The 24,850-nt window shown below is 39.7% G+C and overlaps 2 long non-coding RNA genes across 2 annotated transcripts in view; one reads left to right on the top strand and one right to left on the bottom strand.

Annotated features, from left to right (window-relative positions):
• Nucleotides 1-17,240, top strand: part of LOC124901182 (uncharacterized) — a 35,965-nt gene extending 18,725 nt beyond the window's left edge. The window contains exon 2 of the long non-coding RNA XR_007059133.1: nucleotides 16,960-17,240. This is a non-coding gene — a long non-coding RNA (uncharacterized LOC124901182). The remainder of the gene's footprint in view (nucleotides 1-16,959) is intronic.
• Nucleotides 1-24,850, bottom strand: part of LNCBRM (lncRNA SMARCA2 (BRM) associated) — a 47,089-nt gene that overhangs the window by 13,507 nt on the left and 8,732 nt on the right. The window lies entirely within an intron of this gene.

Below are 24,850 nucleotides of genomic sequence, written 5' to 3'. Positions count from 1 at the left end.
CTTTATTCTAGGCATCTAGAGAGCTGGGATCCCTCTATCCTTCACTGCCTCAGCCCTCAGATTTCAACCCTAACCACACCTAAAAGTGGTTTAGATACTAAGAAGAGTACTACCACCTAGTTTCTCCATTCACCATGTTTACAGTCTACTTGGATGAGATGAAAGATGCAGAAACAATATAATTAGAGAATAGGATGATCGAATATGAAAATGAAATCTACAATTGAACAGTAATGAGTTATCAACAAACTAGTAAGCTAAGTAAAACATGAATTCACCATCCTTTTCCTTTCCTCTTCCTTTCTTCTTTACCTCTTTTTTAATCTTTCTGTCTTTACTTTTATATTGCTCTTCTACTTTTCTTCGCTTTCAAGATAAAGAGAGACAGAGAAGGAGTATGAAATTCAAAGAATTTAGGAGTCTTTCATAATATGTTGCCTAAATCTAGCACATACACTCATATATATATATGTATATATATATATGCAACTTCCTGACGTTTCAATAATTTATAACTTGTTAAAAGTGCTCCCAAATCAGCATTCATACCAGAGAAGCCTCAATAGCTATTTTCAAAAGATCAATAACAGACAATTATTTATATTTATGTTCTGTAGTGGCTTGAATGGTGACCCACCCACCCACCCCCTCAGAAAAAAACATAAGTCTGCCCAGAGCCTGCAAATGTGACCTCATTTGGAAAAAGTGTCTTTGTAGTTTGAGAAGTAGAGAATATTCCTCCACCCCTTCCAATCTGATCTTTCATGTTTTGATCAATAGGGGATTGTAGACGTGACACTGTGCCAGCTCCAGGCACTGGCAGCTTCTACCTTGAAAGGACTGACAGCTTGCACATTAGTAGCTTCTACCTGAGCACCTGAATTTCCACTGGAGCAGCCACAGAAGAAATTCAACTCCAAGGAAATCCAGGTTGAGCTTTGCCTAGTCTGGTCCTTTTTCTTTGTATCTGGCTCCTGCAGTGTGTGGTGCAGAATAGGTTTGCCTATGCCTCCTGCTGCCTATTTCATCTCAGCTTTTGGTCTCTTCTCAGCATTTAAACAAGATACATATTTGCCTCTGCACCCTTTCATTGGAACAAGTAACAACATACTCGCAAAGCAATATCTAAAAACATGCTTAGAAAAGAAGCATTTCTCCTTAGAAACAAAACCCCTAATTCTTCATACAAAATAATTTCTATTACAAAACCACCTACAACACTTGCAATCAGATTACCAGTTTCTTCTCAGTTTTCCCCAAGTGGACACTTGCTTTTGTATTTGTATTTAACTAAAGGGTCTATTTAGTTAGTTTTCTCTGAAAAAGAAAGAAATGTACCCCAAAAGAGTAGTCATGTTTCTACCTCTTTTAAGACTAAATCTTTTTGCAGCTTTGAAATGACAATTATTTCAGATTTTATCAGTCCCATTAAGGTTTTAAAAGCCTTGAAAATTATAGCTAAGGCACTGTGTTACATTTACATGCCTGTAAGCTGAAGTTTTATTCTGAGAAATGTTAAAAAAGTTATGAGCTTCAGTGACGTTTCTCTTAACCCCTCATTATCCCTAGAAAATATTAAAGCTACGAGAAAGTAAAGGAGAAGCAGAGACATGGGACAGATATGAAAAGGGCTGTCTCAGAGAGGTTCATACTACTTCAAAAGTAGAAAAGCTGAAATGAAGATAGAGAATTTCATTTCTAGTCCATTTTCTCCTCTTCCTCCTTCTTCTCATCCTCTTTCTTTCCCTTCTCCTCCTTTTCCTTTTGCTCCTCCTCCTCATATTCCTCCTGGTAGCTACACATAATTCACAAACACAGCATCAGGATCCAGAACACAGCTAAGGAGCAATCTTACACTTAAGCATTTCATGTGACTTCTAGAATAGGTTACTCCGAGAGCCAATTTAAAATTACTCATTCGGGCATCAAACATGAGATGATATTCTCATTGTCAGCTCTGTCACCAGCATGATTGACTATATCCCAAGTCCTTTGAGTAAGAGTTGAGTTCACTTCTTAGGCTGCAGAAATTAAAGTTCAGTGTATTCAAATTACACTTATATCACAAAGGAAATAATAATTGCTGATAATTTAGCATATACAACAAAGTGATTCTGAATTTTTTTTTTTTTTGAGACAGAGTCTTGCTCTGTTGCCCAGGCTGGAGTACAGTGGCACGATCTCGGCTCACTACAACCTCTGCCTCCTGGGTTCAAGAGATTCTCCTGCCTCAGCCTCCCAGGTAGCTGGGATTACAAGTGTGCACCACCACGCCCGGTGAATTTTTGTATTTTTAGTAGACATGGGGTTTCAGGATGTTGGCCAGGCTGGTCTCGAACTCCTGATCTCAGGGGATCCACCTGCCTCAGCCTCCCAAAGTGCTTGGATTACAGGTGTGAGCCACCACTCCCGGCCCTCTGAATTTATTTTCAAAAAACTTTTAAGGTAAACATCAGCTTGCCTCCAACACGGAGTCTCTATATTATTGATGCTTGATCAAAAATAAGCATTTGTTAAATAAGTAACAAAAGCTCAAAAAAAAGCATCAGTTTCATAATCCAATGTATAAATGTAGATAAAACATCAAAAATCAATAATGCAGTTTGACTTTGGGCCTTCAAAATATCAAGCATGAACTATTAAACTAGGCAACAGCAAATAAGAAAATCAATGTTCCTACAAGATAAAACAGCCTTCAAAACCTACACAAACACTTAATTTTAGGTTATAAATTTTGTTCTGTTTCTTATTTTTCAAATGTACTGAGTTGGCTATATTTGCATCTGGCTCATTACTTCCACCTGCCTCATCGAAGGTGTGTGTATCCATCACATCTCTCTCTTTCCCTCCCCCCACTCCCTCCCACTTTGTGTCTAGAACACTAATCCTTGTCTTCTCAGCCTGCAGGTCTGGTGACAATTCCACCCTAATTTTTTAGCAATTTTCTTAGCCTCCTGCCCACTTAGCACCAGTATTCAACAAATGTCTTGAGGGGGAAGCTGGCAGTATGTTGGGTTCAGTTTTCCACCCCTCCCTTCTCAAAGGATTCTGACCCCTCAAGGCTCTAGGTTTTGCCTTTCAAGCCCCACTAGACTCTGCTGGTTATTCCCCCTCTTAGCAACAGCTCTGGGCAAGAACATGTTCCCAGATGTCAACCTCTTGCCCCACACCTAGAACTGCCAAATGCCCCAAGGATAAAAGCTGCTGCAGAACACTGACAAATCTCCCCTTTTGCTGGGATTTTGTCCCCTTAAGTACTGATTGCCTCAGAAGTTGCATTATGCCTTTAAACATATTTCTTTTTTAATCTGGCTTTTCTAAACCCTTTACCCCTTGGTGGGAGCATTAGTCAGCTGCAGGCACTCAATCATACCTGAAAGTGGAAGCTCACAGTACATGAATAATACACAGAAGAGGAAATCTGTTAGCTGAAAAAACAAAAGAACAGCTGTACAACCCCACAAACTATCAGAGAATTGAAATTTAATACAATTTCCTCTTTTAATTTTTTTAAAAAATACCACGTTCCATCAAATGAGAACAAGTACTTAATGTCTGGTGATAGGGAAGTTACATTAAATCAGGAGCTCTTGTCCTCTGTTGGTAAGAGTATAAACTGCTACAATCATACTGGAAAATGACCTGGCAGAGTCATGGTAAGTTTGTGAATACCCTGTGGGCCAGTGATCCCACTTCTTGAACTTGTCATGGAATTGTCTGTGGAGGAAGTTGGAGGCAACTTAGGTGACCATCACTAGGTCAATGGCCAAGTAAATAGAATAGACATACACTATAAGGGTGCTATGAGGCAGGTGGAAGCAATGAACTAGATGCAAATATAGCCAACTCGATACATCTCAAAAATTCAGTACTGGGTGAAAAAAAAAAAACAACAAAATGTATAATTTAAATCAAGCCAAACACACAGACATATTTTAGAAGAACATATACATAATAAAGAACACAAACGTATTAGAAACAGATGCCTATGGAAGCGGCTATCAGGAAGGAAGGAGGGAATAAAAGAAAAAGATGAGTAAACCTTTGAAGTTCTTTTGTGGTACCTGGCATGGTTTTAAGCACTTTCCATTGGCTTATTTAATTCTCTCAACAGTTCTGGGAGGCAAATACCATTATAATTCCTATTTTACAGCTGAGGAAACTGAGGCACAAAGTGATTAAGTAATGCCCAACGTCACACAGCAAGAACGTGGTTGGGCCAGGACTGAAACCCAGGAAATCTAATTGGGAGTCTGTGCTGTGCTGCCTCTCCCTGGAGGCTTCAGACCAATAGCAGTACTAGTGCTGAGGGGATGACTCATCCAGTGCTCCATTCCTAAGGTCCCAAAATGAATCGACCAATTTACCTATGAATTATCAAACAAAAAAATCTGAGTAAGTCGAATCGCGTTTAAAGCTTCAATTTCTTTCCATCAGAAGCTCATATTTCATGAAAAATATTTTCCTCATTTCTCCTCAGCGAAGAGTCTAAACCCGAAGCGTGTAGACAATGATAGTTGAACAATGGTTACAGTCTCGGCACACAATTTTATACTGCATGCTTCTTTTATTTGAGAATCAGAGATACGATCTTTGGTTGTGCAGAGCCTTATATTTGAGCCTCACAATTGACCCCAGAGAATTGGCCTTGCAAAAAAAAACAAAAATAAAAGACACTCTGGAGTGTCCAGGGAAATGTCAGGGAATCAATGGTACAGAGGAATCCAGATAACTGAGCTTAAGGTGGGTTCAATACCACATATTGATTTGGGTCCTAGGAGAGGTCCCGAAAATGATTCTTAGGACAGAAGATTAAAAACAGGTGCTAACAAAATAATTCTGAGGCCCCTCGTCTTGAGAACACTGCAAGGGATCAATGCCTATCACCTGATAGGCAAAGTGAGCAAGAAGGAAACAGCCAGTCACCAGCAACCACTGCTTATGAGAATATGCCTGCTGATTCATAAAAGCAGCCAGTCACAGGCAACCACTGCTTATGAGAATGTGCCTGTTGACTCACAAAAGCAGTGTTTGTAGAAATGAATGCAAGAAAAGGGCAAGGGAGTGGGGGAAGCTATTGGGAAGGAAGGAGGAGAGAGAGACAGCATGGAGAGGAAAGGTGGAAACGAAGTGGGGAGTGAGAAATAGAAGAGAGAGGAAAGAAAGAGGGGAGTGAGGGAAAAGGAGAGGGAGGGAAGGGAAGACAAAGCGGAAGAGGAAGCAGAGGCAAGGAGGATTGAGGATTAGCATGAAAGAGCAGAGAGAAGGATTCATCTATCCAGTTTCATAAAAATAAACCTGCCCTTTCCAAGTGGCTGAAAATCTTTTCAAGCCTATTCCTTGAGAAAATCCTACCAAAGTGAAAATCAGTTGCTTCTACCCCCATTTCCCCACTCTTGTCCCCAGCACATACACACAGAAGCCTTTTATTCTTCACTGTATTGACAGCCAGTGCTTACGGACAGACTGAAAGAAAAGGGTACCAGATGTCTGCCCCCTAGCCCATTTGCTTATTTGCTCTCGGATCTGTTGACTGGCTGTCCTCTCTTAGGGTTACATCACAGGGGCCTGCCACCTACGGCTTTCATACATCTTTGCCTGCTAGCTTCTGCTTAGTCTAGCCAATACATAGGAGGCACTGGTAGACGGGGGCCGCGGGGAAGAGGAGGATGTCGGGATGTTTCTCCCTGACTTTTCTCACTAGAGGTAGCATCTGCAGTGATGGCAGTACCTCTACAATGGTCTCAGCTCCTCCAAGCAATGCCTGCTCCACACTGTCAGCTCCAGCCTGCTGGCGCATCTTCCCCTGCGGTAATCTCTGCGTTTCCTCACCTTCCCTTGTCTTCAGCTCCTGAAACAGCTCATCAGAGCAATAAGGTCTCCACATGTAATTCCCTCTTCTGAAATAGCTGGCACAGCCCAGTTCTGCCTGGATCCTGTCTGATATGGTGTGGCACACATTCCATTCCTCTTGTGTTTTTTGTTTGTTTGTTTTGAGACGGAGTCTCACTCTGTCGCCCAGGCTGGCGTGCAGTGGCGCGATCTCGGCTCACTGCAAGCTCCGCCTCCCGGGTTCACGCCATTCTCCTGCCTCAGCCTCCCGAGTAGCTGGGACTACAGGCGCCCACCACCACCCCTGTCTCATTTTTTTGTATTTTTAGTAGAGACGGGGTTTCACCATGTTAGCCAGGATGGTGTCCAGCTCCTGACCTCGTGATCCGCCCGTCTCGGCCTCCCAAAGTGCTGGGATTGCAGGCGTGAGCCACCGCACCCGGCCCCATTCCTCCAGTTCTTAATTCTTGTGTGTAGGAAGCAGAATAATGCTCATCCTCACCCTACCTCAAGATGTCCACATCCTAATCCAGGAATCTGTGAATATGGCATCTCACATGGCAAAAGAAACTTTACCAATGTGATTAAGAGAGTTAAGATGGAGGATTGTCCTTGATTATCTAGTTGGGGCCAAATGTAATCAAAGGCTTCTTATAAGTGAAAGAGGGAGGCAGGAAAGACAGAGTCAGAGGAGTTATGATGATGGAGCAGAGGTCTATCGAAGTGATTTGACTGCTGGAAGAAGGCCAAGGAATGCAGCCCGCCTTGAGAAACTGGCAAGGGCAAGGAACCAGATTCTCCCCTGGAGCCTCCAAGACCTACCTGATACACCTTGAGTTTAGCACAAGGAAACCCATTTTGGACTTCCGGTCTCCAGAATTGTAAGATAATAAATTCGGATTAAGTTACTGAGTTTTTCTACTTTGTTATAGCAGCTATAGGGAATTAATACATTCTGCAAAGGTCATCTAAGACAATCACCCAGCCTAGGGAGTAGGGAACACTAAAAGAAACTGTAGATGTTCATGGAAAAATAAAAGGCATTGTAGGTTCATGGGGAAGCAAAAGAGTTGGAAAAAATTACCAAGGGCCAACCAGTCTCAACACCAAGTCTCCGTGGGCACAGATGTGGGGGTCCTAATAGAGACTAGGAAATGACAAGAATTACTCAGAAACTATATGGCAAGTAAAGCAGCTAATTTATCAATAACGAGAGGTAAGAATGTTGTCAAAGTTGCCTTTTATCAAAAGGTGTCCTGTCTATGAGGACACAAGGGGAATTTTCTTTTATGAGTTTAGTGTAAGAAATTTAAATTAGCCAGGCATGGTGGCTCATGCCTGTAGTCTTAGCTACCCAGGAGGTTTAGTTGGAAGATCGTTTCAACACAGAATGTCTAGGCTGCAGTGAGCTGTGATTGAGCCACTGCACTCCAGAGCAAGACCCTGTCTCTAAAGAGAGAGAAAGAGAAAAAAGAAATAATTGTGTTTCACTTATTTGACTAGTTTCATTTTACTGAATGAATTCTGTGAAGCTTGTTCAGGTAATCCTTCCCCTTTCCAGTTGATTTTTAAAATATATAAGGCCCAAATTGCAGCCCACAGCCGATCATAGTATAGGACTTTATGATATACCTTATATGGACTAACCTCACTTTTGCCTTCATTGATTTTCCTACTTTACTTTCCCTTTGCTTGCATTTCTTAAATTTATTTGTTCTTTATAATATGCATCTATAAAAACAAAATTAAGACTCTTTTGAAACAAGAAAGGGTATAAATAAGCAAATGAGTCAATTATTAACAATGAATGCTACCAGCAAGAGAAAATGGGAGAAGAAAATGGCATGAATGACAAATGTCCAGAGGTCTAATGCAATCAGCAGTGGATTCAAGGGTATTGGAATAAACAAATCTCCAGTTAGGTCAGGATGCCTTTTGTGGCATGCCCATCATATCAGTGGAGGTTGAAGGTGTGGGTACATACAACAAATAGACAAATGTACTCATGTGCTCTTAGCATTGACTATATTGGAGCCTAAGTATTTTTATTTATTTCCAGAAAAATAAAAGAACATACATGTGCTTCAGGTCATGTTCAACACTGCCCATAAAATAGGTCCAGGAATGCTCTTTTGGACTCCTCCATATCACTTCCTGTCTTAAAATGAGATACTGCAGGCTGGGTTTCATAGCTGGGTAAAAATAGCAAAGACCCAAGCAGCTGCTGTGCATAATGATTACTTGAAGATTTATAATATGCAGGATATAATCACTACCCAAATTAACAATATAGACTAAGGGCATCAGGTAACTGATCTATAGACAAAAAAACATCTTGACAGCAGGGAACATTTTCTTATTTATACAAATGGTCTGTGCACTCAGGCATTCAGTGTAAATAGATCATTATAGCCATTTCCAAGACATTATAATCCATTAAGTAAATTAGACATGCTTTATAAGCCCTAATGATACAATCCCAAGACCAAATATCTCCAGAGACATTTATTCAATTCATCTCTCAGACGGGCCTGGCTATAAGACAGGGCATTTAGCTGAGAAAGCTACCAAGTGGTTCTGTTTTGAGAAAAACCAAGAGCAGAATCTCAAGGTTCAGAGAGTTGATGCCTTCTTTGTGCTGCTGAGCAATAAATGACTATACAGAATGAAACCCTACATTTAAAGTCACTACATTTAAGTCACTTTTTTAATAACCACCAAATCAGACACTTCTTTGTTTCTTCATCACTTACAGTGTAAACAATGATAATCTGAATGGCTTGAGCAGGTTTCATTTTTCCTTCTCAGGCTTTTTCCCAAACTAATCCACCCCTCATTGTCTCTTGCCTGGATTATTTTGGTCGTCTCTTACTGGTCTCCTTGCCTCTGGTCTCTCCTCTTCCTCTACTTATTTAATATTTGGCAGTAGATGAATCTACCTTCAGCAAAACTAGGAAGTATACTTTGCTTTGCCACATTTCAACATAGATTAACATCCAGTACACATTTTTAGTTAAATTATCGAAGTAATCTGAAAGAAAAGGAATCATTTTCCTAATTAAAATGGTTCCAAGAGTCCCTGTTGCCTTCATTCAAGGTCACCTTGAGTTTCAGTTCACCCAAGACTGTTTCAATTTATATGCATGGTTCAGGCACAATTCTTTTTTTTTTTTTTTTTTTTACTTTAAGTTTTGGGATACATGTGCAGAACGTGCAGGTTTGTTTCATAGGTATACATGTGCCATGGTGCTTTGCTGCACCTATCAACCCGTCATCTAGGTTTTAAGCCCCATACACATTAGGTGTTTGTCCTCATATTCTCCCTCCCCTTACCCCCACCCCCTGACAGGCCCCGGTAACGTGTGAGGTTCCACTCCCTGTGTCCACGTGTTCTCACTGTTCAACTCCCACTTATGAGTGAGAACATGCAGTGTTTGGTTTTCTGTTTCAGGCACAATTCTTAAGAACATCCTCTTTCACTCTCAGATGTGTGCCAAGTTTGGACAATAATTTTATTGTTCAAATATAATGTAAAGCTGAAACTCGTTGGCTTAAAATTCATTCCTATCCTGAATAGGAGCTTCTCCAACCATAATTCTGTCAAACACAAGCCCCGGACCCCAGGAAATCTGAAGGGCCAACTCACCACCCTGCCACCCTCCACCCTAAGCACGTATGGGGCAGAGCTACTGCCATGTAGAATCATGGAACCAATAGGCCAGAAAAGACTTTCCAATTTAAGCAACTCCACTATTTTACCAGTGAGGAAACTGATGACAGAGCCAATCACAGGCATTGGTGCTTCAGAACTGTTGGCCCAGGGCACTTTTCTTTTTTTAGTTTTCATTATTCTATTTTAAAATTGATAAATATTAGTTGTGCATATTATAGGGGTACATGTGATATTGTGATACCTGTATACAATGTGTAGCAATCAAATCAGGGTACCTGGGATATCCATCACCTCAAGCTTTTATCTTTTCTTTCTGTTGGGAACATTACAAATCTTCTCTTTTAGCTATTTTTAAATATACAATAAATTATTGTTAACTCTAACTTCCCTACTGTACTATCAAGTACTAGAATTTGTTCCTTCTATCTAACTGTACTTTGGTGCTCCCTAACCAGCTTCTCTCCATCCTCCATCCCCCAGGGCATTTTTCATTCTTCACAGGCTGCACATAATAGGGAGACTGTGAATGTGAGAGAGATATTTCTTTCTCCAATATTAGAGATAGATTTGGGATTGAGCTGTTTACATTCCTCCACACCCAGGAGCTGTGGCAGTTTTAAGAGGACTCCACAGGGTTAGTGTGAAAGCTGTTCTGGTGAAGCAGTAAACCTAAATGACTCCAAGAGAAATCACATTCACAACCTCAATTTAATTCACCTGTGCACTAAGAACAGCAGCATAAGTGCATTTTAAATTAAAGGAAACTAAGCCTCACACACATCTCCCCAGAAGAGATTAGAAATAGGTCTCCATCTTCTTCCCTGCACTCATCTCTTCTCTCATCCACAGGCTCTGAATAGGAGCTTGGCTCTTTGTCCCTCATTTTCTTGTCTTTCTCCCCTGGCATCTTTCTAATAATACCACAAATTGTAGGTGAAAAAAAAAAAAAGGATGCCACACCTGAGTTTCCCTGTCATTCCTGGGTCACACGGGTTGGAGAATGGTAACAAACAATAGGTCACCTTAGCCAGGTTGCCTCAATGTATTTTGTCTTTCTGCTTTGAATTGCTGCAGTTTAGCAGCTAACTGACTTTTAGGAAGTGATTACAAGTGTGGATGTGATAGTTTTATGTATCCATTTGGATGAGCTATTGTCCCAAGTTGTTCAATCTAACACTAATCTAGGTGTTGCTATGAAGGTATTTGGTAAATGTGATAAAAATCCAGAAGCAGTTGACCTTAAGTGAGGGAGATTATCCCGGATAATCTGAATGGCCTGATTCAGTCTGTTGAAAGGCTGTAACAGCAGAGCTAAGGATTCCCTGAAGGAGACAGTCTGCCTATAGACAGCAGCACCAGCTTATGTCCAAGAGTTCCAACCTGCCCTTCCTGATGGCCAGCGCTATGGATTTCAAACTTGCTTTACCAGCTCCCACAGTCATATTAAGTCAGTTCCATGCAATAAATCTCTTAATATATAACTCCCACTTGTCTATTCTTATTTAAACCCTGACTAATATTGGGGTTGTTGGTTGGGGGGATGGGCAGAAGACACTTGACTTTTTTTCCTTTTCTTTGTAGAATTACATAGCAAGAAAGAATGAGATAGGTTTCTAATTGACAAATATTTCAGGCCTGGCCAGGTCCAAGCCTTCCAGCAGGTATTTACACTCCAAAGACAATAGCCCCTTACTGGACTTCATTTCCTCCCTCTTTCACCCAAGCCTCCAGTCTTTTATGTTTGCCCCTCACAGCTATATATGCCTAAGACTTTATAAAGGGTGGCCTCCAGACCAGTGACTCTCAATCCTAGCTTCCACTTTAGAATCTGCTGGTAAACTTTAACAATACTGAGACTTGGCCCCATACCAGCATATATGAACCAGAATCCTGACAATGGGGTCTTGACGTGATTTTTTTATAAGCTTCCAGATGACTCTACTGTGAGTCAAGGTTGGAAGACACTGGATTTGACAGGTCAGTTTTCATTGCAACCTCAACGTCAGCTGAAATCGTCCCACCCTAGATAATCTAGATAAGATTTTCTGAAACCCCATTCACAACTTGTGGAAAGTCCAATGCCCTTGCCAAGATTTCTGTAAATTTGCTAGGGCACTTGTGGTTCTCTGGTAGGGTGGCCAGATGTAGTAAATAAAAATACAGGACATCTAGTTAAATTTGAAAAAATAGTTTGACAGAGGAGTTTTGCCTTTCATTGGGAAAAGGCTGAATCTAAGATGTTTAGGGCGTCCTGACAAAGTCAACACATGCTTCAGGACAAAAAACATAAAATACAAGGGCATGGTCTGTATACACAGGATGCTGGAAACCTTGTAATCCATGTATACCCTCAATCCAAGCTCTTTCTCTCATTGAATTGGTTTGATCTACTTGCAGTCCTACATGTTTTGTGATGGTTCTGCATATATGAATTTAGATGTACATCTTATTTCTTGTCCAAAAAAGCAATACAATGCCTTTGTGGATGAAGCTGACTTTGCTAAAGGTCTGAGGAGGAAAAAAGTGTTAATACTGCAGCAACACAAACAACCAAAGATGAAACATAAAGCACGATGTCCAATATGGTTGTTGTCATGTCACTATATTGTTTAGTCTTTTCCTCTTCCTCTTCCTCTTCCTCTTCTCTCCTCTCCTCTTTGCTCTGTTCTTCCCCAGACTCAAATTCCCATTCTTTTCTAATGGAGAGTGATTTAGCAATCTCTCTAGTTTCCTTGTCTCCTTCTCTCTGAAATGCCTTTACCAGTTTATGGTCCTAAACAAAGATAGGCCCTTCTTTATCAGGGATTCTACTGCCACCCAGAAAGACATTTATTTTTCACCGAGTTTCATGATTATGTTAATATTTTCTATGTCAACAAATACTAATTTTGAGTCTTCTGAGTTTGAAGGACTGTTTCTGCACTTCCGGTTTTCAATAAGGGAGAGTTCCTTCTGCTTTACAATCAACACCGGCCTCCTTGAGTGGACTGATTTGAGCTAGAAAAACTCAATTGCCTAAAACTACACAGTCCATTAGCCTTACTTAGTAGCTGGAATTTACAATGCTACTAAGTCAGCCATTGCGTTTAATGCAGTTTTCCAACATATGCTAATTATTACAATTACCTGCGCCTGTTAATAGTATAGTTTCCTATTCCCAGCTCAGGCTTAGAGAATCAGAACCATGATGGGGGTGATTTCAATGATTAGCCAAGTTTAGGAAACACTGGTCTAAGCACTTGAAGGCCCAGTTAAAATGCAAATAAAGGCATTTTCAATATGGAAAGATTAACATAAACTGGTTCAACGGAGGCGTCCTGGCGTGAAGATCCAGCATGGCAATTCACCTTATATCTCCAAGACTAATTCTCATCTGTTCAGTGGCTGGGCTAGAATAATCTCTGATGTTTCTTCCAACTCTAGTATCCCATGATTCTACACCCACTAGATCCTTATAATTAGGCTTCTAGGCTATAGTCCAGGGGACTAATATATGGGGAGGGAATAATGCCAGAAAGAGACAAATTTTAAGAAGCCAAGGAGTGAGAAGGGAAGTAAAGTCTTGGAAAAGATACTCTAAGCTGGGGGGATCCCAGATTTTTTAGAACTTAGAGTTCAGTGGGAACACAAAAACAACAGGTGCTTGAGGGAGCGAGCAGTGACTAAGAGGACAGAAGAGCATCCCCAGGGCACTTGATTACTGAACTTTAGGATAATCTTATGCAGAGCCACCTCTTTTTCTCTTCATATAGAAATTAACAGTCAGATGTCCTCAATATTCCTGAGGGGTAGGCCAGCCTACTGCACTAATAATTGTAGCACAGGTGTAAAATAAAATCAAATAAAAAATAAAATAAAATAAGATAAAATAAGCTGTGTGATCTTACTAAAATACTAATGGAATAAGCTCTTTCCTTATCCAACATACCCCAACATTCTGCTCAGCACACACGCAATCAAAGTGTGCTGACCCAGACATTGGTTAAATTTAACCAGTGTGTACACGCAGTTTCCACTCAGGTGCAACATTTAGAAAATAATCTGCATTTTGTTAGATGTGCCATGGAAGAGAAGTGTCAGAGTCAGGATTAGGGATTCATGAAGGGCAGAGAGAGGGAAAGGGCAGTTTAGATGACATTTACCCTTTTAAAAACAGCCGCTCATCACCCAGGTGGAGGGACCCCCGTAGTTACTCCATTACTTAGAAATGATTTGATGTCTGAACAATTTTTGAATTCAGATATGAAAGCTTCAAATCATTCATGCAAAACAAAAAGATAACATATGTCCACTTATACTCATTGTTTACATAAAACTAGCATAGAAGAAAATCTAAAATGGTGATAGAAGTTTCAAAGCAATAATAGTAACTATTCCAAAGAAGTATAACCAAACAATTAAAAGACCTAAAATGATTAAGTCAGGCAACATTTCTGGGATGTTAAGACAAAATGAGAGAGAGGAAAGAAGACAAGCTGTGCTCTTCTATGAGGTTACTGGCCACCTCAGATCAAATCCCAGACCAGGCACATTAAGGTCCATGTCTCAGGAGCCCAATGGTAGCAGCTGGAAGATAGCCAGAGCAAAGGCCAGAGGGATCCAGGAGTCACAAAGCCCAAGCTGTACCTTAGTGACTGTGGGCAAGGAAGTTGGTGGCTGGGCCTGCTTCTTCGCTTACAAAATGAGCATATAACACCAAGCTTAATATGATCAAAGGATTAGAAATTCTGTATAAGAAGTTCATTTCATATAGTAAGTGCCTAACACATATTAGCTACTAACATATCCTGGAATCTTCATCATTTACTTTTATTACTATTACTATTTGCTAAAGGCCCTGTGGATACATGCACATTATACATTGTCAGATATAACCTATCTAAGAACAATTACGTTATGTGTTATCAAGCCTGGCTTTGCTAATCAAAACCAACACACAAATGTCAGAATTTTGAAGACTGAGAAATGAAACTGACAAATTTTGACAACAGGATAGTGAAAAGGAAGAATGGGGACATATCAGATAGGCCTGGTAGGGTTACCCAGACAATCAAAAGTCAAAATGGAAGCCTTCGTCTTCCAGAGGAACCACCCCCAAAACTGATATAACAAGGCATTGCACACAAAGCTTGACTCTGACAAATGTACCTCTGGAGAATACCTGGTAGTTTGCTCTTCTAGGGAGCATTGACTCTGGACCCAGCTGTTGGGGTTTGAAGCCTGGCCCCACCACATACTTGCTATGTAACCTTGCGCAAGTCACTTATCCACCCTGTGCTTTGCCTCAGACATACCATGGAGAGAATCCTTTAGCATGTGTCTCAGGGGTTGTGAGAGTTACGTGTGCCTAACACTAAGGAAACTCTATATAAAGGGTCATTACTGTATTATCATCATTGTGACTTACTCAATAAAATCCCACAGAAGCCCTGAGTAAACCTTTTAACTACCTATTTGTATTAGTTGCTACTTTTTTATCTTTAAATTAATACTCTTATTGATTAAATCTTTCAAAGTCATAGGTCAATTAGTCTCAATAATTTTTAGTATAGATGTCTTTTATATATTTTTTTTATTATACTTTAAGTTTTAGGGTACATGTGCACAACGTGCAGGTTTGTTACATATGTATACATGTGCCATGCTGGTGTGCTGCACCCATTAACTTGTCATTTACATTAGGTATATCTCCTAATGCTATCCCTCCCCCTTCCCCCCATCCCATGACAGGCCCTGGTGTGTGATGTTCCCCTTCCTGTGTCCATGTGTTCTCATTGTTCAATTCCCACCTGAGAGTGAGAACATGCAGTGTTTGGTTTTTTGTCCTTGCGATACTTTGCTGAGAATGATGGTTTCCAGCTTCATCCATGTCCCTACAAAGGATATGAACTCATCCTTTTTTAAGGCTGCATAGTATTCCATGGTGTATATGTGCCACATTTTCTTAATCCAGTCTATCATTGATGGACATTTGGGTTGGTTCCAAGTCTTTGCTATTGTGAATAGTGCCGCAATAAACATACGTGTGCATGTGTCTTTATAGCAGCATGATTTATAATCCTTTGGGTATATACCCAGTAACGGGATGGCTGGGTCAAATGGTATTTCTAGTTCTAGATCCCTGAGGAATTGCAACACTGTCTTCCACAATGGTTGAACTAGTTTACGGTCCCACTAACAGTGTAAAAGTGTTCCTATTTCTCCACATCCTCTCCAGCACCTATTGTTTCCTGACTTTTTAATGATCACCATTCTAACTGGTGTGAGATGGAATCTCATTGTGGTTTTGATTTGCATTTCTCTGATGGCCAGTGATGATGAGCATTTTTTCATGTGTCTTTTGGCTGCATAAATGTCTTCTTTTGAGAAGGGTCTGTTCATAGCCTTTGCCCACTTGTTGATGGGGTTGTTTGCTTTTTTCTTGTAAATTTGTTTGAGTTCTTTGTAGATTCTGGTTGTTAGCCCTTTGTCAGATGAGTAGACTGCAAAAATTTTCTCCCATTCTGTAGATTGCCTGTTCACTCTGATGGTAGTTTCTTTTGCTGTGCAGAAGCTCTTGAGTTTAATTAGATCCTACTTGTCAATTTTGGCTTTTGTTGCCATTGCTTTTGGTGTTTTAGACATGAAGTCCTTGCCCATGCCTATGTCCTGAATGGTATCACCTAGGTTTTCTTGATGTCTTTTTTCAATCCGCTTTAAGAATTCATACATAATACAGTAAACTTCAGTAACTATTGGTTGAGAAAACACATTAATTCGACAAATTTTCTTAAAGTAGTATATACATAGCACTGGGTAATTTACAAAGGAAAGAGGTTTAATTGACTTACAGTTCAGCATGGTTGGTGAGTCCTCAGGAAACTTATAATCATGGCAGAAGGCAAAGAGGAAGCAAGGCGCCTTCTTCACAGGGCAGCAGGAAAGAGAAAATGAGTGCAAGCAGGGGAAATGCCAGACACTTATAAAACCATCAGATCACGAGACTCACTCATTATCATGAGAGCACCATGGAGGAAACCACCTCCATGATTCAATTACCTCCATCTGGTCCCATCCTTGACTCATGGGGATTATGGGGATTACAATTCAAGGTGAGATTTAGGTGGGGACACAGAGCCAAACCATATCAAGTAGAATTCCTATTTTTGTGAAAACAATATCTGCTAATTGTTTTTTTTTAATTCTGCCAATTAAAAAATAAAAGAATTCCAAAAAACATTTCAAATCCAGCACCTAAAATAACAATCACCAACATCAAATTAACATAAATCCAGGCATTCTCCAAGGGGTCAGAGGTACAGACAGGTAAATAATTTTAGAAAAATTATTTATACATGGGAGAGTATTACAGGGAACTGGATTAGAAAAGAGAAGAGAGAATAGAATAAGCAGTGACTTGGGCTGCAGGAATTCAATGAAATCTTTTCCAGAACTTTCTCCCATTTTGTTTGTAGTCATGGCAGCCAAGAAGGAATCCAAGTCAATCCAGTGGCCAAGATGGAGAACATTACCACATTCTGTCATAAACACATGTGTTAAAACTCCTCTCTTGAAAGTTAGAATTGATATAACACAGAATGCTCTGCTCTCCACATCAGCCACAAGGACAGATCCTGACTTCAAAAGGAAGCAGCAAAAGGAGGTATAACCTCAACAGTGACCGTCTTGCCAAATCTAGTCAACAAAACTAAAATCACTTGAAGTTCAGTTCAAAATAAATATGTTTTCAATCAAAGTTTGTTTTCATAGATCTTCACTAACATTGATATTCTTGGCTTGGAAAGCACTTGGGTTTTATCTCTAAGGAAGGCAGGCCCATGAACACAGTTGGGGAAGTGGTTGGCGACTGAATTATATGAACCAAAAATTTAATTACTTTTGACAATCACATATAAAAGAGAAGAAAGAGAAAATGGTTAGGATATTTAGAATTAACTGTGTACAGTCAGAATCTCTACCACCATTTCTGGTCTAGTATAGACAAATTGTATTTCATTGCATTGATGTGCATTATTAACCCACAGTCAAAATGCATAAATACTACTTTAGCAATGTAATGTTCCAAACATTTTATAGGAAATTAGAGTCCTTTCAGAGCTATAGTTTCATGCATTTCCCTAAGCAGTTTATATTTTAAGAACTTCTAATGAGGCTATAAAAAGTTCTTTTTATAAACACTGGCAAATATATCCACCACAGGATGGCTTTATGCATTTTAATGAACATATTAATAATTTACTCTTTTAAATTACCACCGTACTATTGCTGATCTAAAGGATGTACCTTAGAGAGTTTATGTGCTAAAAAGGTTATTTTAAAAAATTCTCTCAAAAATAGTTTAGAGGATTTTTTTTAATAAAATATTTAAAACCTATAAAAGTCAACTTGAATTATATTTTGCCATATTGCTCAAAATAAAACTTACAAAATAGTGATTCCTGACCATGGTCAATTGATCTCAATTTTTATGGTCAGGTCCAGCAGTGGAAATAGATTCCTCTAGAAGGAATTCCACAGTAGTATGATAAGTGCTCTGAAAAGGGAACCCCAGGATGTTGCAGAGTACATAGGAGAAGCACTCAGCATGGGCTTGAGTCAGGAAGGGCTTTGCAGAGTAGCAACTTCTCAACTGAGACTTGAAGGATGGGTTCAAGCAGTGTTTTTCAAAGTGTGACCCAAGGATATCTGAGACTCTGTTAGAAGGATCCTGGGAAGTACTGCCTTTTCCACTTTCCCAAAAAGATATAGTAGAGTCCTTACCCCCTCAGAATATGACCCTATTTGTAGAAAGGGTCTTTGCAGAGGTGATCAAGTTAAAATGAGATCATTAGAATAGGCCCTATTCAAACATGGCAAGTATCCCTATAAACAGGAGAAATTTTTGACACAGAAATAGACACACAGATAGAGAGAACTCCATGCAAAGACAGGAGTTATGCTGCCATAAGCTAAGAAACTACCAGGAGCTAGGAGAGAGGATGGATTCTTCCCCACTACCTTCAGAGGGGGCACAGCCATGCTGATCTCAGACTTCCAGTTTTCAGAATTGTGAGGAAATTAATTTATGTTTAAGTCACTCAGTTTGTGCACTTTGTTACAGTAGCCCTAATAAACTAATATTCCAACTATATACTACTTGAAGCTAGATCTTTTTCACATACTTTGACTAAAACAACATATTACAGAGATTGAGTTCAGAAGCAGATATGAGACCAGTGTCTTTTATTGAGCCAAACACTACAGATATTTGCAAAAATGTAAAATGATGCCACTCTTCTCACTAATATGTTTTGTCTTGTCAATAGTCATTTCCATAAAATGTTATTTAGGTATTGTCATTATTTATGTATTGTATTTTAAAGTCAATCAATGAAGAATTATTTTCAAGATTTCTTAGCTTAATTCCAAATACAGTAACAATTTATAGATAATGCCTCTACTCATAAGAACTCTTTGGGGTCCTCAATAATTTTTATAGTTTAAAGGAGTTCTGAGACCAAAAATTTTAGAACTGCTAGGATCAAATTAGCCAGGGAAAGAAGGTGGCAGAAAGACTGTCCAAGGCAGAGGAACAGCACAAGCAAAGGCCCAGGAGACAAAAAGGAACCTCAAGTTCATTGTAAGTTGAAGGTAGAGCACAAGCAGGCAGAAATATGGGAGAGGAAGGTAGAAGCCAGATCACAGGGAAGAGAACAACACACACTGGGGCCTGTGGAGGCAGGGAGGGACAGCATCAGGATAAACAGCTAATGCATGCAGGGCTTAATACCTAGGGTTGATGGGTTGATGGGTGCAGCAAGCCACCATGGCACATGTTCATCTATGTAAGAAAACTGCACGTTCTGTGCATGTATCTAGAACTTAAAATAAAATTTTTTTTTAAAGTTTAATTTTAAGCAAAGAAACAAGGGATTGACCAGTAATTTCTGTTTGAGAAAAGCTCCTTTCAGTGCAATAAGGAGGCTGGAAAGAAGGATCAAGAGTGATGGCAAGGAACTAGTCAGAGGTTAATTGAGAAAAGACAAAATGGTAGCAGTGGGAATGAGGGGAATATGTGACTCAATCAAGAGATTGTAGTTAAGTTTAATCAGAAGGACTTGCTGATTATTACATAGGGGAGGTGAGAGACAGAGAGGCATTTAATTTAGAACAACAACCCGTTTCAGGCTGGTCAACTGAATGGTTAGTGGTACCGTTTAGTAAAACAAAAAACAAAAGTAGAGAGTCCAGTTTAGAGGAGGAAAAGTAATGACTTCAGTTTTACAAATGGTGACCCTTCAGATATCTAAAAGGGGTTGATTCATGAACAATGTATTATATGGGTTTGGTCAGGAGATGAATATGGGCTGAACATACATATTTGGGAAATATTTGTATGTAAATTACAATTAAGCCATGGATGGATGAAAGTATTGATGGTGAATATATGGAGTACAAAAGACAGGAAGATCAAACATGTAACCATTGGAGCATCACCTTTAAGGGAAGGGCAGTAAAAGGGGAGCCCCAAGTTGGAGCAGTCAGAGAAGCAGAAGAGCTAGGAGAGGCAAGTGTCATGGAAGCCAGGAGAAGAGAGACTTTCAGGAACAAAATGGTGTTCAGCAAAGTCAATGGGAAGGTCAGATAAAAAAAAAAAGAATTAGAAAGTGTCCATTGGGTTTAACACGAAGGAAGAAATTGTTTGCTCTGGTAAAAGAAATTTGATTTGGATAACACCTTTCCCCTCAAGCAAATATATGTTTGCATTCATAAACAGCTCCTCCCACCCACTTAGCTCCATTTGCAAACAATTAAATTTATTTATTTAAATAAGAGCTGAGAAGTTTTCTGGGGGAAGTCATTAACTCCAGCCATATTCACAGTTGGAGTTCAAACATATGGACACACATCTGAAAAACCAAAAGAAGAAAGCAGCTCTGGGATTAGAGGGAAAATAAATCAGAGTTCAAGAAAGGAGGAAAAAGCCACTTGGAGCAAATTACCTCTGTGGGCAGAACTTTGGCAGAGTCTAGCCCTGTGCTGTTCAAAATGGCAGCAGCCACTAAACACATGTGGCTACTGAGTACTTGAAATGTAGCTAGTCTAAATTGAGATTAAATGTGCATGGGATTTTGAAGACTTGCTTTGGAAAAACTCACATAAAATATCTCTTAAAAAGCTTTTATATCAATTGCATATTGAAATAATTTTTTGCATGTTGAAGTAAATAAAATATATTATTGAAATTAGTTTTACCTGATTCTTTTTGCTTTTTTAAGGCAGCTGCTAGAAGACTTAAAGTTACACCTGTATTTTGTATTATATTTATCTTGGACACTGGTCTAGCCAAATTTAGCTACAGAGCCTGAAGGTCAACAGGGAATTGTGTATCTAAATTTTACAAAAATAAAAGTACTGGCCTTTTTATCTCTTTAATACTTCGGAACTCAAGCATCCCTGTTTTAGGATCACTACTGCTACCTACAGACTGAGAATGTAACAGAGGGAGGGAGCACTCTCCTTCTAATTTTTTTTTTAAAGCTGCTAAGCCTCAATGGAGGCCCTGCAGGAACTGGACAGTTAAGAGATAAAGAGAACAGCACTGAAACGCTGCCCAAGTTGATTCAAGAACATCTAGAACTCCCAAAAATACCAGCTGGAGATTATGAAAAAAGCTACAGTTCCCCAAGTTAGGAGGCCAAGCCTTGGAGCTAGTCAGGGGACATTAGAGCCACAATGACTACTTGAAGCATAGGTATTAGGATGCTTTCAGCTGCAAGTAAGAAAACATAACCCGGAATAGCATAAACAGTTGAGGAATGACTTACATAACAGAAAGTTCAGAGACAAAGCAGGTTCCAGAGTTTGTTGATCCATGCAGTCCAGCACGTGATCAAGCATTAGCTTCTTTTTATCGCTCCTTGTAATGCTAGGAGGGTATTTTGTTTTGGTTTGTTTTCTCACAGTTATATAATTGTCACTAGAAGAATTTGGAGCTACATACTTCTCTATTTCCATCCATAGAGGGAAAGACAGTGACATTCAACATCTCTTAAAAGCAAATAAGAACAGTCTCCATGGCTACCCACAAACTCTCTTTATGTCTCAATGGCCAGCAATGAAACACAAAGGACCACATGCCCATTCTTGAACCAATCACCAGCCAGCATGATGAGATTACACTTAAACCAATCGGGTTCTCCTTGCCAGTGCTGATGGTAGAAGCAGCATCCTTGGAGGCACTTGTCTTGCAAGAGAGCAGGGTGGATACCTGCACACAATTAGGGATGTGTTCAGAAGGACGGCAGGGAATTCTGCTGTGTAGGCAACTTATAGTGCCCACAGAAACTCTCTTTACAAATAAAAATGAGCCAATGGGGGACAGCTTAAAAACCCAAAAGGGAGAATAATACTTCCAGTCAATTATTCAGTCCTGAGCCAGCATCCCTCAGCCTCTCATTACCCCCACATTCTTTGGTTTGGCTCAGGGAAAACTATCTAACTTTTAGTAGCCAAAGCAATAGGTCATTGTGAAAGTTAAAGCATTATAAAAACAAAGACTTTATTTCAAAGCTGCAAGTCAGTGACTTTCTAAATATCTGTTGTTTAGTACTATCTGGACCTCCACTGCCTCTGCTTATTTGCACAAACGGTGAAGAATCCCATAATCCTCACTCAGTTCCCACTCCATTTCCAGCAGACATACTTTGCCCATCTCTATGTTCCATCCCTTTGATTTTTCATACCCTACCTGCACTTTTCAGGCCACAGTAATGAAAGTGTGTTCTCTTATGACTACTTTCCAAGCCCCGTGTGATACAGACTGGCCACGATCTAAGAGGAAAGAGTAAGCTTGTCAGCTCAGGGTTTGAGTTGTGACTGAGCAGGAGACAAAAGATGTCCTTTAGTGACTGTTGTTTATCACAAAAACAGCTTGGGTTTCGAAATCCTTGGTATTAAATATTGTAATTCCTCCACATGACTCCTTCTGTAGCAGCGCAAAGGTCAAGATTCACAGAAGGAATTGGAACTCCACAAAGTTGTCTCTTCATTGAGCACAGTGAGACACAATGAGAGTACACAGTCAGGGCTAGTGATTAAATGAGACAAATCATGCTGACATGGCTCCAATCAACCCGTGGAATTTTCAAGTTAGAAGAAAACTTCAAGACAAACTAGCCTTCTGTAGTAGGCAAAATAATGCCCCATCACCAAAGATGCTCAAGTCTTAATCCTCAGAACCTATGAATATGTTACCTTACAGGGCAAAAGAGAATTTACAGATGTTATTAAATTAAGGAACCTTAACTGGGAGATTTTGCTCGATTATCTGGGTAGGCCAAATGTAATCACAAGGGTCCTTATAAGTGAAAGAGGGAGGCAGGAGAGTTAGAAATGGGGATGCATGGCTGCTAGAAGTAGAGGGCAGAGTGTTGCAATTGCTAGCCGGAAGGGGGCCATGAGCAAAAAGAAAAAAAAAAAGGAATGCAGAAAACCTACAGAAGCTGGAAAAGATAAATAAATTGATTCTTCCGAGAGTCACTAGAAGGAATGCAGCTCTGCCAAAACCTTAATTGTAGACTTCTGGCCTCCAGAACTATAAGAGAATAAACTTGTGTTGTGTTAAGCCACTAAGTTTGCAACAATTTGTTACAGCAGCCACAAGACACTAATACACCCTATCACCTCAGTTTATAATGACTCCCTTCCCAATACCTGCTATGCACTGAGATCCTTATATGCTTCTTTTCTTTACAGCACTTGCCATTATAGTGTCAGATATTTTTGTTTGTTAACTATCTCCCCAATGAGACTCCAAGGCTCTCAAAGGTAGACACTGTGTTTTCCTTTTTCATTTCCGAGAATACCTAACACAGACTATTGGCAAACAGAAATAATTTATTAAATATCTGTTAACTGGAAAAAAATACAGGAAATAAAAATATATATAAAATTGGGGACCTATCTAAAAATTCCCTAAATGGCAAACAACATGAACAGACAGTTCTCAAAAGAAGACATATAAGCATCCAACAAACACAGGAGAAAAAGTTTCAACATCATTAATCATCAGAGAGATGCAAATCAAAACCACAATGAGATACCATCTCACACCAATTAGAATGGCTTTATTAAAAAGTCAGAAAATAACAGATGTTGGTGAGGTTGCAGAGAAAAAGAAACACACAACAAACAATAGTTGACACTATTGGTGGGAATGCAAATTAGTTCAGTCCCTGTGAAAAGTGGTTTGGAGATGTCTCAAAGAACTAAAAATAGAACTACCAGTTGACCCAGCAATCCCATATATTCCTGGGTATATATCCATAGGAAAACAAATAGTTCTACCAAAAAGACACATGCACTCACATGTTCATCACACATGATTCACAATAGAAAAGATGTGGAATCAACCGAGGTGCCCATCAGTGGTAGATTGGATAGAGAGAGTATGCTACATACACACCACAGAATACTATGCAGCCATAAAAAAGAACAAAACTGTGTCCTTTGCAGTAACATGCATGCAACTGGAGGCCATTATCCTAAGTGAATTGATGCAGACACAGAAAACCAAATAATACATATTATGTCTTATAAGTGGGAACTTAACATTAGGTAGACATAGACACAAAGTTGAGAACAACAAACACTGGGGATTCCAAAGCAGGGGAGGAAGGGTTGAACAACTACCTATTGGGTACTATGTTCACCGCTTGTGCAACAGGATCATTAGAAGCCCAAACCTCAGCCTTACAAAATATCCCCATGTAACAAACCCACACATCCACCCCCTGAATCTAAAAATAAATAATAAATGGGGAAAAAACACATAAACGCACTTAGTACATGGTATGCACTCGGCACATAGCAACTATTATTGCTGGGTATTCTTGGTTCTACTAGTACCCTTCCATCTTTGGTTGGAATCTATTTCTTCAGTGAATAAGAATACAAAGGATATTAAAATAATTAAGTTAGAAAAATACATATCCCCTAGAGGGTCCTAAATCACAGGAAACCAATGGCAGGACCCTCCAACTTCATAGTTATGTGTTCCCCTTATGCCAGAACTGGCAATGCTGGGCACATTTAAGAAAAATTAAGAGCAATATCTCTTTCAATTAAGGGTTTGGGATGTGAATGAAGAGATTCCACTTTGGCCTTTGAACTTTAGCATGGTAGCATCTGTACACCTGAGTGGGGGAGTTATAGATGATGCCTCTTATGGCCTTCACAGAGAGCCTCCTCAGGAAAAAATGTGGAATTCAGTGCACCCATGCATGGATCCTCTCTGCCGAGTCCTTCCACAGCAGAGCAAGGAATACCACTCAGTGACTGACACCTTACACCCTGTCACTCAAG

The sequence above is a fragment of the Homo sapiens genome, chromosome 5, assembly GCF_000001405.40.
Source record: "Homo sapiens chromosome 5, GRCh38.p14 Primary Assembly".
In the NCBI taxonomy this organism is placed as follows: Eukaryota; Metazoa; Chordata; class Mammalia; order Primates; family Hominidae; genus Homo; species Homo sapiens.
The sequence above is the reverse complement of the archived record's forward strand: the minus strand, read 5'-3'. Positions and strand labels throughout refer to the sequence as shown.